At 37.6% G+C, this 17,374-nt stretch overlaps 1 protein-coding gene across 4 annotated transcripts in view; it reads left to right on the top strand.

The window, feature by feature from the left end:
• Positions 1-17,374, top strand: part of UNC5C (unc-5 netrin receptor C) — a 386,470-nt gene that overhangs the window by 234,757 nt on the left and 134,339 nt on the right. For all 4 annotated transcript variants that reach the window (NM_003728.4, XM_005263321.4, XM_047416346.1 and 1 more), the window contains one exon: positions 12,468-12,611. In NM_003728.4, coding sequence (NP_003719.3) covers positions 12,468-12,611 — 144 coding nt within the window. The remainder of the gene's footprint in view (positions 1-12,467; positions 12,612-17,374) is intronic.

Raw genomic sequence — 17,374 nt, 5'->3', positions numbered from 1 at the left:
CCACTGAAAATTCCCCAAACCAGTCATGTCTTTCTCATCTGGGTATGTGACTAATATAGTTTTCAATTAGTGGTGCTCTTCTCCCCTCCTAAGTCTTTATAGTACCTCAAATGATAATTTTGTGAATAGAATACAGCTTTATTCACAAGATAATTATGATGCAGTACATTTTAAAGACATTTTATGGATTTCAAGTACTTTCATAACTGTTATTTCGTTCCTTTTCTCACAATGCAGCAAGACAAACACATTTTTAGTCTTATTTCACAAGATGGGAGACCAAGGTTTGATGAATTTAAGATTTGCCAAAAGTCAGCCAATACGTACAGAGCAGAATTTACTTTCTTATCTCAATAAATCACTAGGTTGTTTTGTGTTAGATGAATATGTTTTCAGTCACCTAGTTGCAATAATAATTGTCCTGGGTGAGTGGAATTTTTAAACATATGAATCTTTATAGTATGCTTTTTAAAGTTGCATTAAGATTATGAAACATATTGCTTTTAAGATAAACAAATAGCAATCCTCAATAGAACATACTATGTGTGAACTGTTGTTAAGTGGTAGTCACTCAGAAGTGATTGCTCTTAATGCTTGTTTTCAAATCATTTGGAATAAATGCAAAATGAAAGCCCATGAGGATGAGTAATTATTATTCTGGATACATATACCTGGTTTCCACTGTCAGACAGTGTTTTTAGAGGGTCAATAAGGATATTGCTCTTAACACTTATGATTAATGACTTGATGTAAGATCGAAGATCTGAAAACCATTTTGTAATAATAATTAAAATTAAAATTATTAAAATTCCTTTAAAGTAAGTCAGTGTATCCTTGTTTACTCATAGAGACAAATTAATCTTCCTGCAGCATGTCATTTTCAAAACTGTCATTTTACCAATTTACAATTTTCACAATCTCACTGCTCCAAAGAACCAACTTCCCTAGCTGCCATTCACAGCTCTTCATGAATCTTCTCTTCTATCTAATTCAACACTTATTCCTTTACTCAATGAATGTAAACTACTCTCCCCTAGAGTGCTCCATGCATTTTCATCTCTGCTCTTTGGCTTCATGCTATTCTCTCTTCCTGAAGTGTCTTTGATTCCTTTCTCTAAATCTTTAAACCCAAACCTTGTTTCAGTGTCAATCTCAAATATTCCACTTTGCCATGGTCCCTCAATCTGTCCATCTGAAATATTTCACTATACCTTTTGTCATGGGATTTCCAGAATTTTCTAAGTTTTGGACTATTTTTATTCAGTAGATCAATGTAGAGAATGCTAAACAAAACCATACTGAGAGCCATGATGAGGTGAGTTTCTGTGGCTACGTTGACTGTAGGGCTGTGTGGTTTAACAAATTGAGGGAAAATGATGCTAATCTGTACTAAACAGACTTCTTTACTACAGAACTTCTGACCAATGCCTTCAATATATGGATGGGCATTCTGAGTTTTGTAGAGGAGGGTGTATTGAACAGAAATTCCCAAGCTTGTTTGACCATGGAACTCTTTTCTGAGACATAGTTTCAGGAATATTGGTGTAGTGAAAGGAATAGGAACATTGGATTCAGACACATGTGGATATAAATCTTTATTTTGGTACTTATTGGCTATATGAACAATTGTTTAGATTCTGATCTGTGCTCTTTACATATTTATTATAGATTTGACAGTATGAATCCCCAAGGATTGTTATGCAGATTAACTGAGATGCACAGTAGCTGTTCAAAAAATACTAGTTACCTTTACTCGTCTAAGCTACAATTAAGTTTATTCTATGCCTGGGATTAAACACTTTATTTTCTGTTGTAACTATATATATGTACAGATCATTCACTTATTTAACATATATTAACTGGACAAATATTATGTGCCAGTTACTGTACTGATGGATACAGAATGCATAGGACAGGGCCTATGCTCAATGAACAACTATTTTATCTCTAGTCTTAGTATCTTCTGAAGGGAGGATTCATAAGCATTTCATCAGTGTGGCCACCTAAGAAACTATCATAATGAATGAAATATGTGCTTAAGAATTATCTTCATACTGGAATGTCACCCACAGGAGAACAGAGACCTTATCTCCTTACGTGCTTTCTTTTCTGGTTTTGGGGTTTTTTTTGTTTTTTGTTGTTGTTGTTTTTGTTTGTTTGTTTGTTTTTTGAGATTGGATTTCACTCTGTCACCCAAGCTAGAGTGCAATGGTGCAATCATAGCTCACCATAAGGTCAAACTCCTAGGCTCAAGCAATACTCCTGCCTCAGCCTCCTGAGCAGCTAGTACTGTAGGCATACACCACCGTGCCTAGCTAATTTTCTGATTTTTATTTGTAGAGACAGGGTCTCTTTATGTTGCCCAGGCTGGTCTTGAATTCTTGGCCTCAAGCAATCCTCTTGCCTAGGCCTCCCAAAGCTCTGGAATTATAGGCATGAACCAGTGTGCCAAGGTGATATCTTCTTTCTTTAGCACTGTATCCTCAGCACATGGAAAAGAAAAGTTCTTGTCACATAGTAAAGTCTCAAGAAATATCTATTGAATGAATGACTGGACAAGACTAATAGTGAGGTCTATAATTCACAAGTGTATAGTTAACTAGATTTCCACGAACACATTACTATGCCCCACTTTCGTTAACAGGCATCATTTTGTTAAATTTTATTAAAATTGTATTAAAACTACTCATGAATGCCTGAAACAAGGAAGCAAAGACATGCATGTAGTAAGATTTAGGTCATAATTAGGAATTATATTTTCCAAGAAAAATGTTGGAATATACATTCAAATATGTGTAATATATTCGGTGTTTTAGGACAAATATTTAGAAGAATGTTGCATTTGCTAATTCAGTGGAACATGCTTTGTTCCCTTCCAAATTAAACAAAGTGCTGTCATGTATTCACAAAATTGTTTTTTTTATATTCCAAAGAATATTGACACACAAGGCATAAGTTAATTACAGAAAGCATTTTAGCTGCCCTTTTAGTATCAGAAAGTCTTCTTTGCACACATTTGAAAGATTTTTTTTTAATCACCAAAGTTAAAAAGAATTAAATGACAGCTAGTGCTTGTAAGGTTGATTTCTAGCAATTCGTTGCAACTTTAAATGTAAAACAGAAATATTTTGCACACCCACCATTCAAGTTATCCCTCAGATATGGACTCTAAGTTTGATGTTAGTTGGAAAGTCAAATCAAAAATAGAAGGCCTAGTTCTCCTGTAAAACTCAAAACCTGATGCTCGCACAAAGGAAAGAGGAAAACTGTGTTATGATTGCCAGAGTAAGTTTTATTTTTCATTCTATGTAATATTGTCTTATAATTAAAATTTCAAGTTTTAAGGCAGAAAACCGTGCGTTGATCTATAGTTGTCATAGAGCTTTCTAGAAGCACTAGAAATCCCCCCCCAACCCAGTTACACAATCCAGTGAATATTCTTCTCAGTTCTAGACAAAACAAAAATATAACAAAGCACAGATCCTCATTTGACACAGGCTGCCACACAGAGCCAAGTTCCTAAAAACTATGGCCATAAAAAGGAATTGAGTCAATGACCTAGAAATGCTTCCAAGCAAATCCCTTGAACCACTCAGTTTCAGTCATATAAATTATTTAACTTTTGAATAAATTTAGCCTTCTACATTTATTAACAGAATTGTGTATATTTATGGTGAATAACATGATGTTTTGAAATATATATCATGGAATGGCTAAATCAAGCTAATTAACATATACATCACCTCATATATTTCTCATTTTTTTTGTAATGAGAACACTTAAAAATCTACTGTCTTGGCAAATTTCAAGTACACAACACATTACCATCAACTGTGTTCATCATGTTGCACATCTCTTGAACTTACTCTCCCTGTCTAACTGAAATTTAATATCCTTTGACCAACATTTTCCCAGTCACCCATCTTGGGACCCCCTACCCTCTGTGAACCACCATTTTTGCTCTGCTTCTATGGTTTCACCTTTTTTAGAATCCACATATAAGTGTGATCATGCAGTATTTGTCTTCCTGTGCCTGGCTCATTTCATTTAACATAATGTTCTCCAGGCTCATCCAAGTTGTGGCAAATCAAAATATTTCCTTTGTTTTTAAGGTTGAACGTTTTCCCCTGTGTATATGTACCACATTTTCTACCACCACTCATCTATTGATGGACACTTAGGTTAATCCCATGTCTTGGCTATTGTGAATAGCCAAGTGCTGCAGCGAATGTAGGGGAGCAGATATCCCTTTCAAATACTGATTCATTTACTTTGGGTATACACCTATTAGTGGAACTGCTGGATCATATGGTAGTTTTATTTCTGTTTTGTTTTGTTTTAAGGAAACTTCATACAGTTTTTCATATGGCTGTATTAATTTACATTCCCACCAACAGAGTGCAAGGGTTCCCTTTGCCCCATATCCTTTGCCAACACTTGTTATCTTTTGTCTTTTTGATAGTAGCCATTCTTCCAGGTGTGAGGTGATATCTCATTGTTTTAACTTGTATTTCCCTGAGGATTAGTGATGTTGGACATATTTTAATATACCCTTGGCCATTTGTATGTCTTCTTTTGAAACGTGTCTTTTGGGATCCTCTGCCCAGTTTTTTAATTGGGTTCTTTTTCTTGCTCTTGAGTTGACTGAGTTCCTTATATATTTTATCTATTGACCCTTTATCAGATGTATGGTTTACAAATGTTTTCTCTCATTCCATAAGTTGTCTCTTCACTTTGTTGATTATTTCCTTGCTGTGCAGAAGCTTTTTAGTTTGATGTATTCCTATTTGTCTATTTTTGCTTTTGCTGCCTGTGTTTTTGGGGTCATATTAAAAAAATCATTGCCCAAACTAATGTCAAGGAGCTTTTCCTCTATGTTTTTTTCTAGCGGTTTTACAGTTTCAGGGTTTATATTTAAATTTTTAATCTATTTTGAGTTGGTTTTTGTATATGGTATGAGTTAAGGGTCTAATTTCATTCTTCTGCCTAGGGATATCCAGTTGTCCCAACACTATTTATTGAAGAGACCGTCCTTTCCCCATTGTGTATTCTTGGCATCTCTGTCAAAAATCAATTGACCATAAACATATGGATTTATTTCTGGGCGAGCTATTTTGTTCCATTGGTCTGTGTGTCTGTTTTCATGCTAGCATTATGCTATTTTGATACTGTAACTTTATAGTAGATGTGGAGATCAAGTAGTGTGATGCCTCCAGCTTTGTTCTTTTTGCTCAAGATTGCATTAGCTATTCAGGGTCTTTTGTGATTCTATATGAATTTTAAGATTGTTTTTCTAATCCTGTGAAAATTGTCATTGGAGTTTTGATATGGATTTCATTAAATTTGTAGACCACTTTGGGTAATATGAACATTTTAACAATATTAGTTTTTCTAATCCATGAACATATCTTTCCATTCATGTTTTTCTTGTTCTTTTTTTTTTTTTTTTTTTTTTTTTTTTTTTTGAGACAGAGTCTCACTCTGTCAGCCAGGCTGGAGTGCAGTGGCACAATCTCGAATCACTGAAACCTCCACCTCTCAGGTTCAAGCAATTCTCTGCCTCAGCCTCCCAAGCAGCTGGGATTACAGGGGCCTGCCACCATGCCCAACTTATTTTTGTGTTTTTAGTAGAGACAGAGTTTCACCATCTTGGCCAGGCTGGTTTCAAACTCCTGACCTCAGGTGATCTGCCCGCCTCAGCCTCCCAAAGTGCTGGGATTACAGGCGTGAGCCACCGCACCTGGCCTTCCATTAATGTTTTTCTTCTTCAATTTATTTCTTTCATGTTTTATTGTTTGCAGTGTACAGCTCTTTCATCTCTTTGGTTAAATTTATTTCTATGTATTTTATTATTTTTATAGCTATTATACATGGGATTATTTTCTTTGTTTCTTTTTGGGAAAGTTTATTATTCATGTATAGAATCATTACTGATATTTATATGTTGATTTTGTGTCCTGCAACTGTACTGAATTCATTTATTAATTTTAACCGTTTTGTTTAATTTATAGGATTCTCCAAATGTAACAGCACATCATCTGCAAGCAGAGACAATTTCCTTCTTCCTTTGTGATTTAGAATTTTTTTCCTCTTGCATAATTGATCCATCTAAGACAGTACTATGTTGAATAGAAATGGCAAGAGTGGGCATCCTTGTCTTGTTCCTGATCTTAGAGGAAAAACTTTCAACTTTTCACTGTTGAACGTAATGCCAGGTCTGGGCTTGTCATATATAGCTTTATTGTGTTGAGCATTCATTTTCTATCCAATTTGTTGAGAGTTTTTCTCATTAAAGGATGTTGAATTTTGTCAAATGTTCTTTCTACAGCTATTAAGATGATCGTATGATTTTTATCCTTCATTTTGTTGATGTGATGTATTACATTGATCGATTTGTAAATGTTGAAACATCCTTGCATCCCAGGGATATATCCCACTTGATAAGGGTGCATGATCCTTTTAATGTGCTGTTGCATTTGGTTTGTTAGTATTTTGTTGATGATTTTTGCATCTTTGTTTATCAGGGTTATTGGCCTGTACTTTTCTTTTCTTGTAGTGTCCTCAGCAGGTTTTGGTAAGAGGATAATGCTGGCTTTGTAACATGAATTTGGAAGTAGTCTCTTTTCTTTAATTTTTTGGAAGAGTTTGAGAAAGGTTAAGTTTAGTTCTTCTTAAATAAAAGTGCAGGTCCTGGGCCTTTATTTGATGGGAAACTTTTTATTTCTGATTTAATCATCTTACTGATCATTGATTGGTCTGTTCAGGTTTTCTATTCCTTCATGATTCAGTCTCTGTAAGTGTTGCGTTTCTTACATTCATCTTAATCACAAAGATAGTAGCTGTAACTTTAACAAAATTATACTCATAATAAAGCTAATACACCAGCAAGTTGCAATTCCCACTTGCATAGAATAATTTTAGTTAAATTATATAGTTTGCTTATATATTAAACATTATATTAAAAATTTAATTAAAACATTTCAAAGAGTAGGTAAATTTTGTGTATACAATGTCTTCCTGCTATAGTAGTTAAAGATTGTTAAGTGACTTCATGTAACACATGAAGTCTTGATTCTGAAATTCTGCCTTTTAAGTTATCACACTTTAATTACTTTAACGAGAGTTATAAGATGCTGAAATAATAATCAGTTTTTATAGTATGACATCCTTCTAAATAATGACAGGGTGTTTTGTGATTTAATTAATATTAAGACATCTAGAACTGATATGTTTCATATTTTAAATAATACTAGTAAAAGCTTATAATAGAATGAAGCACTGGAAGAAAGAACCAAAAGATCACACTAATTCAATAAAACTTTGTAATATATTCCAGAACATCCCAACCTGCAGCTTTGTATATTTCTTACCAACCTGTGTCCTAACTGTGAATGTACTATAATGAAATTTGGTGGAGGGAGCTCTGCAGTTCTTCTCCAATTAGAGAGATTGCTGGAGAAAGCCAAATTGCCAGGCCTGCACAACATGATATCTTAAAACTTCCTTTTGCCATAAGAAAGATAAAGCCATGGAGAGGAATCAACTCAGGCATACATAATACCTAAGTCTAAAGTTGAGTTAGGATACTTTTGAAAGAAATATACATGGAGTATCAGAAGGCGCAAATTCACTATCATGAAAATGTGTTTTAAGATGATGTGTGATTTTTTTCAGTGTCACCTAATAAACAAGATATGTTTATAAAATACATGAAGAGGCAGGCGTGGTGGCTCATGCCTGTAATCCCATCACTTTGCGAGGCCGAGGCGGGTGGATCACGAGGTCACTAGATCAAGACCATCCTGGCTAACATGGTGAAACCCCATCTCTACTAAAAATACAAAAAATTAGCCAGGCATGGTGGCAGGCACCTGTAGTCCCAGCTACTCCGGAGGCTGAGGCAGGAGAATGGTGTGAACCCGGGAGGCAGAGCTTGCAGTGAGCCAAGATCGCGCCACTGCATTCCAGCCTGGGTGACAGAGCAAGACTCCGTCTCAAAAAAATAAATAAATAAAAATAAAAATAAATAAAATATATGGAGAGCTTAAGGCTAAGTAATGTTTGATTCATCCTTACATTTCTGCAACTTAGCATAATATCTGTTATTAATGGACTTTAATACTTACTTTATTTGATAGCACTGTAGATTACATTTTGGGGAAATACAGATATTATTTTAAGTAATCATTTAATTGGATTAAGCATGTATTTGTGCTCACTTTATGGTAGTATCCTAGAAAAACAGTATTTGTGGTGCCTTACCACTATTATGAAATTAAGCATATGCTAAAAATAAGAAATAAATGTCATGTCATTATCAGGTCTTATTGCCATATTCATGTATGACCTCACAAAGATCCAATCAGAGGGTTGCATTTGAATCTGAATTTCTATATTCATTTGAAATGTATTATTAACAAGTGCACACTCATACTCATCATAAGACTTCTTGGAATAACATGCTAATTACTTTCCTGCACTCTGGCTCCCAAACTACAACAAATCCTATTATAAAAACAAATCACTGCAAACTTCAAACAGCATGCATCCTTGAGATGCCACTATTAAAGGAAGCAGCATGATGGGAAATCTTTGATGTTATCAGATGTGATGGAAACTACACATTTGTATTTGAGTAAGTCCTGTAGACCAAAGCATTTCCCCCACCCTTAAATAACCTGAAACCAATTTCAGGTTCCCAAATGCTCTTCAAAGCAACCCACCTTAGAAGTAATGCTGATGGCATTTCAAATTCAAGGTAGTTTGCTTTTTCCATCTCCAGACTTCAAGCAGATTTGAAATTATAGGTTCAAAGAGAAAAAATATTATCTACTTTTACCCAAACCACTAGGCTCTGGTCTGATGAACAAACTCTCATAGGTAATAAACTTACCTATGGTTATGAAAATATGGCATGTAACCAAGTAGCTCAGAGTCTGAATAATGCAGTCAATTCTACGGAATTCTTCTGAGTCATAAGTATTTAGATACTTCATGCTTCAGTTCTTTCTTATTCTTGTGTTGTTGACCAAAAGTTGGAATGTAAACTTTGGGCTATGTAATAGGACAACTGTACACAACTCAGCTCCTCCTGAATGGGACATCTGTGAAGCTGAATACAAAAATCAGTGTGTGCTTGACTCCAGTGCCCACAGGGAGCCTGAGCCAAACAATTCAGAGCATTCAGACTATGAATAACTCCTGTAGCAGGAGGGTTGGTCTGTGGCTTTTAAAAAGGCTTCAGATTTGTGGTCAGTAGAACCATCCATGAGCCTATTTGAGCTAAAGGATACAGTGGACCTACTGAATTCCTCAAGCATTTAATTAGGCTTCCTGTAATTGCTTTAAGTAAAAGTGGGGGAGAATGAGACCTGAAGTTATCATCTTGGGACACCAAATATTTGGATGTGGTTGTAATATCCTGAGCATATTAGTTGCTGCTCTGCATCGTATAAAGAACCATTATAGTTCTAAGGAAACACATATTGCAAATTTATCAGCCCTTTGGTGACTGTAAGTTACTACAGTAATCTTAAAGGAAGAGGTTTGTTTCCAGTAACTGAATTTCCCCATGAAGAGGGAATGTATAAATAAGTAAAGCAGGGAAAAACCATCAAACATCAGAGAGTAGGGGGAAAAAAAGAGAGAGAGAGAAAGATATGGGGACTGGGGAAAGAGGTTGTGATTCCATCTTCCCATAGATTTCCAGAATTGGAATAATGTGAAAAAATACAATAAGATAAGAAAATGAGAGGCCTGAGTAGGGACCAGGAAAGAGGAGGCAAAGTGGTGTTATTTGTTAATGGCCTAGGATTGTTGCTGAGAGGATTGTTACATTAGTTAGACATTGGCTAACATAATCTACTAATCTTCTTTCCATAGAAGGGTGATGGATTGGAATATGCCACTTACTTGGAAATTCTTTTTAAACTGGTTAATATATAAACATACAAGGATTGCTAATTTTCAAAACATTGAAATAATTTTGAATGTACTTCATAAGCTTTTCACAATAGAGTTGCCCCTTAGGATCCTGTCACGCCTTGGGATTATAAAACCCACCGTCTTGGGCTTCATTACCATTTAGCTAGTCATTAATGGGCCTATGAGCTTAGTAGTTTCTATGACACAAGCCTCATCAGCTCTTGATAGGAAATATTGTTTGTTCCCCCAGTGGGACAGCTCCTACTCCCATTGGGTAGTTGTTCATTTCCCTGAGTGTGTTTAGTCATTTGAATATTTTCTAGGTGTTAAGGAAAGTTCTAAAATACAGTTTTTAAGGAGTTCCAGAAAATATACCCTCTCCTGTCACCTATAATCAAACATTTTGAGAAATTATAACTTTTATGAACTTATTAAACTATAAAGAATTGAATACACATACACATACACACAGATATACACATGTACACATACACATACACACATATCTATTTTATATATCATATATGTATATATTTAATTCTCATCTGATCATGTCATCTACTTGCTTAAAACACTTTAGTAATATCCATGGCTTTTAGGAAGAAACTGAAAATCTTTGAGACAAAGTCTCGCTCATTGCCCAGGCTGAAGTGCAGTGGTGCGATCTCGGCTCACTGCAGACTCCATCTCCAAGGTTCAAGCAATTCTCCTGCCTCAGACTCCCGAGTAGCTGGGATTACAGGCGTGCGCCACCATGCCCAGCTAATTTTTGTATTTTTAGTAGAGATAGGGTTTCACCATGTTGGCAAGACTAGTCTCAAACTCCTTACCTCAAGTGATCCGCCTGCCTTGGCCTCCCAAAGTGCTGGGATTACAGGCGTGAGCCACAGTGCCTGGGGGAAACTGAGAATTATAAACATTGTAGATGTGAGTAGTTCTGAAACTCAGCATGCATTGGGATTACTTGGCAGGCTGGTCAAAACACAGATTGCTGGACCCCACCTCCAGAGATTCCTATTCAGTGAGTTTGGCATGGAGCCTGAGAATGTGCATTTGCAGCAGGTTCCCAGGTGATACTGATGAAGCTGCTCTGGGGGCCACACTTTCAGAAACACTGGTGTGCACAACTATGTAAACTAGACCCTTTCTTGTCTCTAGCTTCATCTCATGCCACTATTCTCTGTGGTTGGTGCTCAGTTGTCTTCTCCTAAATTCTCAAACTCCTAATTCCCTTTCCTGCTCTTTCCCATATGTCCTGTCCCTCCTGCTCACCATATGATTGAACCAAGCTAACTCATACTGGATCCTTCACACTAGATTGGGTTCCCTGATTACTCACACTCATTCCTATGCCCACCTTTGCAGCATTGAATGCAATTGAACCTAAATAATAAGTTGTATAATGCATTGTTAACATGATACCTCTTCACAATAACATAAGTTCATTGAGGGGAAGGACTATCTTACTGATTACTTTCACAAGTGCTGATACATTATCTTTTACATAATTGATACTAAATAAATATTTATTCAAAGAATAAATGAATAGATGGACATATGAATAGTGCAAAACAATATATTTAATCATTCTTACTATACCTATACTTGACCCAAAGCAAATTCTCCTCCTCCCTAGGGGTGTTCTGCTGGTTCCCTCAATGGACACTCCATGCTGGAAGTGTGTGAGTTCAAGCTCTGGGAGAACTGGCAGTTGCCCACATATGTTGTTCAGATAACCCCTCTTGCTCAGGGCAAAGAGGCACATTGAAGAATGAATGTCTGAAACAGCCTTGATAATTCAAGATAAATACCTCTAAAATGATAATCCCAGATGCTTAGTTCAATTTTTTGTTATTCAAGATTACATAATGCTGTGAAATAAATTCCAATTATTTGAGCATTTTAGCAGGAGGCTACTTTACCTTTAACAGGGTTTTAGTATATTACAATTACAGAGAAACATTTTGGGCTTTCAAACTATTATGCATGAAAACTTTAAAGTTATATATTCTTCGGATACGATACCAGAAGCTTGTTAACAAAGGTTAGTATCTGTTTCAAGAAAAACGATGTGCCATTTAATTGAAACACAACTGCTAAAGTAATTTAGTTATTAAATAATCACAATGACTGTTGGTTTTAGCTTTGTAAATCTGTGTACATACGTTTATTTTACCCACAACTATATAATTGAGGTAAAAACCCTAGAAGATGTGAAACTCAAGTTTATATTTCAATATAGAGAGGAAGGTTAAAAAATAGCAAGCTGTATTGGGAAAGGAATTACTTTGTGGAGTGATAGAGCCCTTCTACTTTCATCCTCAGAATAATCCAGAAGATGTGAAATAGCAAATAAGAGAATGAAAAAGTTGTTGAGTAAAATAACTGGAACGAGAAGAAAGTCAAAAGAGATGAGAGACAATATCTGGGTTGTTGATCTATGGCATCAAAAGGGATGACTGGGGGAAAAATATGATGTGATGGTTTATATTTCTTTAGTATGAATCTTGTGTTGACTTAAATCTTTCTTTTTCTCTTGTCAGGTCTCATTGTCCGGGAAGTGAGCATTGAGATTTCGCGCCAGCAAGTGGAAGAACTCTTTGGACCTGAAGATTACTGGTGCCAGTGTGTGGCCTGGAGCTCCGCGGGTACCACAAAGAGCCGGAAGGCGTATGTGCGCATTGCATGTGAGTCATTGTACAATAAGCACCTTGGGTCTCAGAAGTTGATACACATAAGGGAAAGTTTACACTGTGACTACTCCAGCACCAAAGAAAACTGGTCAAAAATCCTGGAAAGGCCAGGCGCGGTGACTCACGCCTGTAATCCCAGCACTTTGGGAGGCCGAGGTGGGCGGATCACAAGGTCAGGAGATCGAGACCATCCTGGCTAACACGGTGAAACCCCGTTTCTACTAAAAATACAAAAAATTAGCCGGGCATGGTGGCAGGCGCCTGTAGTCCCAGTTACTCGGGAGGCTGAGGCAGGAGAATGGCCTGAACCCAGGAGGCAGAGCTTGCAGTGAGCCGAGATTATGCCACTGCACTCCAGCCTGGGCTACAGAGCAAGACTGTCTCAAAAAAAAAAAAAAAAAAAATCCTGGAAAAAAACTGCTCCCAGATTTCTGCATTTGAGCCACATATTCCTCTTAGGTCGCCAAGATTTCATTTTATTTTTAATTTTCTTTTTTATTTTTTAATTTTTGTGGGTACATAGTAGGTGTATATATTTACATGGTATGTGAGATGTTTTGATATAGGCATGCAATGCCTAATAATCACATCATGGGGAATGAGGTATCCACCCCTCTGGCATTTATCCTTTTGTGTTACAAACAATTCAGTTATACTCTTTTAGTTATTTTAAAATGAACAATTAAGTTATTATTGACCATAGTCACCCTGTTGTACTATCAAATAGTAGGTCTTATTCATTCCTTCTATTTTTCTGTACTCATTAATCATCCCCACCTCCCCGCAAAACCCTGCCACTACCCTTCCCAGCCTCTAGTAACTATCTTTTATTCTCTATGTCTGTGAGTTCAATTTTTTTCCTTTTATTTTTTGTTTTAAGGCACTGAGTAATTTTTCTTTAGGGATGTGAAAGAACTGTGTTACTTTCCAAAGATTTTGATTTTGTAAAAAATCTAGTAGGAATTAGACTGTAGGAAAATCAATCCTTACAATGGCATATATCATTCCTTGAATGAGTTCATTCTACCACTTTAAGACAAAGTTGAGTCGTTTTCCTGTTCAAAATAGAGATTACCAAGATAAAGCTTCTCTATTTATTTTGGAACCATTCTAGTACATTGGACCACACACAGCACTGTTTTCCAAATTGTGTTAATTTCTAGAGCATACATGTTCAGGAAGAGGTTAAAAGGTACCTTGCAAAAAAGGCTTCCATAATCAAATAAATGTAAGAAATATATTTTTTGACAAAGTTATAGAAGCTTCATTGCAAAACTTCTCAGATGATTTAATACACTAATATGCATGTTATCACCACGAGGGAGAAGGAGGCTGCAGCTTGCAGAGCCCTTTCCTCAGTAAATATTCTGTCTGTCTTAAGCAACATGGATGCCACGTAACCTGTCTCAAGGTTTCATATTGAGAAATGTTCTCATACATGAGAAAGCGCTGAAATCCATATATTTTCTTTTCTGAACCCTTTACATCTTTGCATTTTACTAATTCTATTTTGTGTTGGATGCCAATATCACTTAGCTCTAAGTCCCATCAATCCTGCTTCTAAAGCATTCCCCAGTTCTATACTTGTCTCTGACTCCCTTGCTTCTTCATTTAGATGTGGACCATTGCAGATCTTCCAGTTAGTCTCCATGGCTCAAGTCTGTTCTCTATTCCAGCCCTTCCTCCCTGTTACCACAAACACAGTCTTTCTAAAACTTAGGTCTCCTCTTGATAAGGTTTGGTTCTGTGTCCCACCCAAATCTCACCTTGAATTGTAATCATCCCCATGTGTTGTGGGAGTTAACTGAATCATGGGGGTGGATTTTCCCTATGCTGTTCTATGATGGTGAATAAGTCTCATGAGATCTGATGCTTTTATAAAGGGGAGTTCCCTTGTACATGCCCTCTTGCCTGCCACCATGTAAGATGTTCCTTGCTCTTCCTTCATCTTCCACCATGATTATGAGGCCTCCGCAGCCCTGTGGAACTGTGAGTCCATTAAGCCTCTTTCCTTTATAAATTACCCAATCTGGGGCATGTCTTTATTAGCAGCATGAGAACAGATGAATACACCTCTCATCTTGCCTCCATTCCTGCTTCACATTTTATAGTGACATGTGAGATAGGCAAAATTCCTTATAATGGCATATATCATTGAATTAGTTTTCTAGGGCTCCCATAATAAAACACCACGGATTGGATGGCTTAAACAATAGAAATTTATTTTCTCACAGTTCTGAAGGCTGGAAGTGCAATCTCAAGGTGTCAGCAGGTTTGGTTTCTCCTGAGGCCGCTCTTCTTGGCTTGCTGGTGGCCTCTTTCTCACTGTGTCTTCACATAGTCTTTACTCTGTGTGTGTGCACATCCCTGGTGTCTCTGTGTGTCCAAATTTCTTCTTCTTATAAGGACACCAGTCAGATTGGGTTGGGGCCCACCCTAACAGCTTCATTTTAACTTGATCACCTCTTTAAAAGTCTTATATCCCAATATAGTCACATCCTGAGGAACTGAGGGTTAGGGCTTCCCCATCAGAATTTGGGGGAATGGGATGTAGTTCAGCCAATAACAACTACATTTTGTGGTTTACATATCCAACCTATGTTTCTAGCTCGGAAGGGTAAGGATTTCTACATTGTAATCACACTAGATTAAAACTACTTTGATTTCCATGCCTTTCAGCTATTCTTCATGCTGAAGCATTGCACCCTTATCTTACTACCTTTCACAACATATATATGTATATGTTTGTATGTATTTGTTCACTTAGACAAATACTAAGTGAAGATTCACTCTGTTCTTGGGACAATTGTGGGTATTGGGGTTGGTACTAGAAACAAAACATGCAACCATCCTTGCCCTCATGGAGCTCATGTTGTGGTGAGGAAAGGCAAACTCTAAATAAAATGAATGATCATCAGGTCTAGAGCAGATGGTAAGTGCCACGAAGAAAAAATACAGCAGGAAAAGGGAATTTGTAGGGCTGGGAGGGAGTGGTCAGGAAGCTTTGCTGAGGAAGTTGACAGTTGCGAAGACCTGAAGGAGGGGCAAGAGGGAATCAGGCAGAGGGGACAGCGGCTGGCACAAAAACCCTGAGGCAGGAGTGTGCTGGTGGGTCCCAAAGACAGCAGTGAGGCCAGAGTGGCTAGAATAGTGAGTGAGAGGACATCCACAGATGCAGCCAGAAAGGTAAGGCCTGGGCTAAAGATGGGAGCAGTGTGTGCAGTTGGCATAGGGTTCTGTAGGTGTTGAAATTATCTTTGGTTTTGTTTGTTTGTTTGTTTGATTTTTGAGATGGGGGTCTCATTCTGTCACCAGGCTGGAGTGCAGTGGCGCAAACACAGCTCATTGCAGCCTCAGTCTCGCAGGCTCAGGTGATTCTACCACCCCAGCCTCCCAGGTAGCTGGGACTACAGGCATGTGCCGCCATGACCAGCTACTTTTTTGCATTTTTTTGTAGGGATGTAGTTTCACCATGTCACCGAGGCTGGTCTCAAACTCCTGGGCACAAGCGATTTCGCCCACTTCAGCCTCCCAAAATATTGGGATTACAGGCGTTAGCCACCACACTCGGCCCATATTTGGTTTTGAGGATAAGTTGGGAACACTTTGGAATCTTTTCAGCAGAGGAACTCATGACCTGACATCCATTAGCAGAGTCATCAGAGTCATCTGGCTGCTGTGTTGAGAATGGACCATGCTGGGCAAGGGGAGAAGCAGGAAGACCAGTGATGAGACTGCAGCTATGAGAGATGTTAAGCTACTGTAGATTGGAAGCAGTGGAGGTGGTGAGGCCAGGATTTCAGATATATTTAAAAGTAGAGATAACAGCTTTTGTTGAGACCTTGGATGTGTGATGTGAGAGAAAGAAGAGAAAGGATGATTTGAAAGGGCTAAGCCTTATCAAGGATTTCTTTCAAATGTCTTTAGTGAAGCCATTCCTGCCTCACAGAGGGAGGAGGCTGGGCATTCCTTTCTCAATACTTTCAGAGCAGTTTGTCCATACTCCTAATATAGTGCTTGTCTCATTTCAATTATATTCACTCGTAAAATTTGTGTTTCATGCCAGTGAGTTCCATGAGATCAAGAATTCTATTGTACTTAATTTTATATCTCTCCTGCTTAGCACAATACCTAGAGTATCACAGATGTTTAACAATTTTCTTGAATTAAAACTGTTATAAAGAATTCCCAGTGAAGTTTGTTCAAATGCTCGACATTAATCTTTCCTCTCTGAGAATGTCTAAATAGATTTTCTCTTTGTCTTAAGTGGAATCTCCATGAAATACTGTGAAATGGAGTCATACATGCAGCCAGTGTATTGAGGGGTGCCCTTAGGAACAATATGCTAAGGGTACTAGGATATCAGGTGGAGGAATAAAGGCAATGGTTGGGCAGAGGGAGAAATTGACCTGCAGAGCAAATACAACACGTGATGACTCCATAGGAATCTGAAGCTCACATGGCCCTTCAGAGTTATAGCACCCTGAGGCTGAAGGGGTGAGCAGACCTGTATTCCCCTACATAGACTAGTCAGTGGATGAAGACCCTCCTTTACTCCCTACCCCACCAGCATGTGTAACCAGGGCCAAGTCAGCTCTGCACCACTGAGGGTGATTCCAGGAGAGAGAAGCTGAGACTTTCACCGTCAACACTTCCAACAGGTGGGACCAGGCCTGAAAGGGGATCCTGGTAGCATACCACAACATCCACTGCCACAAATTCTGAAGAATTGATTTTTTATTAATTATAAAGAAAAA

This window comes from Homo sapiens, chromosome 4, assembly GCF_000001405.40.
Source record: "Homo sapiens chromosome 4, GRCh38.p14 Primary Assembly".
Taxonomy (NCBI): domain Eukaryota; kingdom Metazoa; phylum Chordata; class Mammalia; order Primates; family Hominidae; genus Homo; species Homo sapiens.
This window is presented reverse-complemented; position numbering and strand designations above follow the sequence as displayed.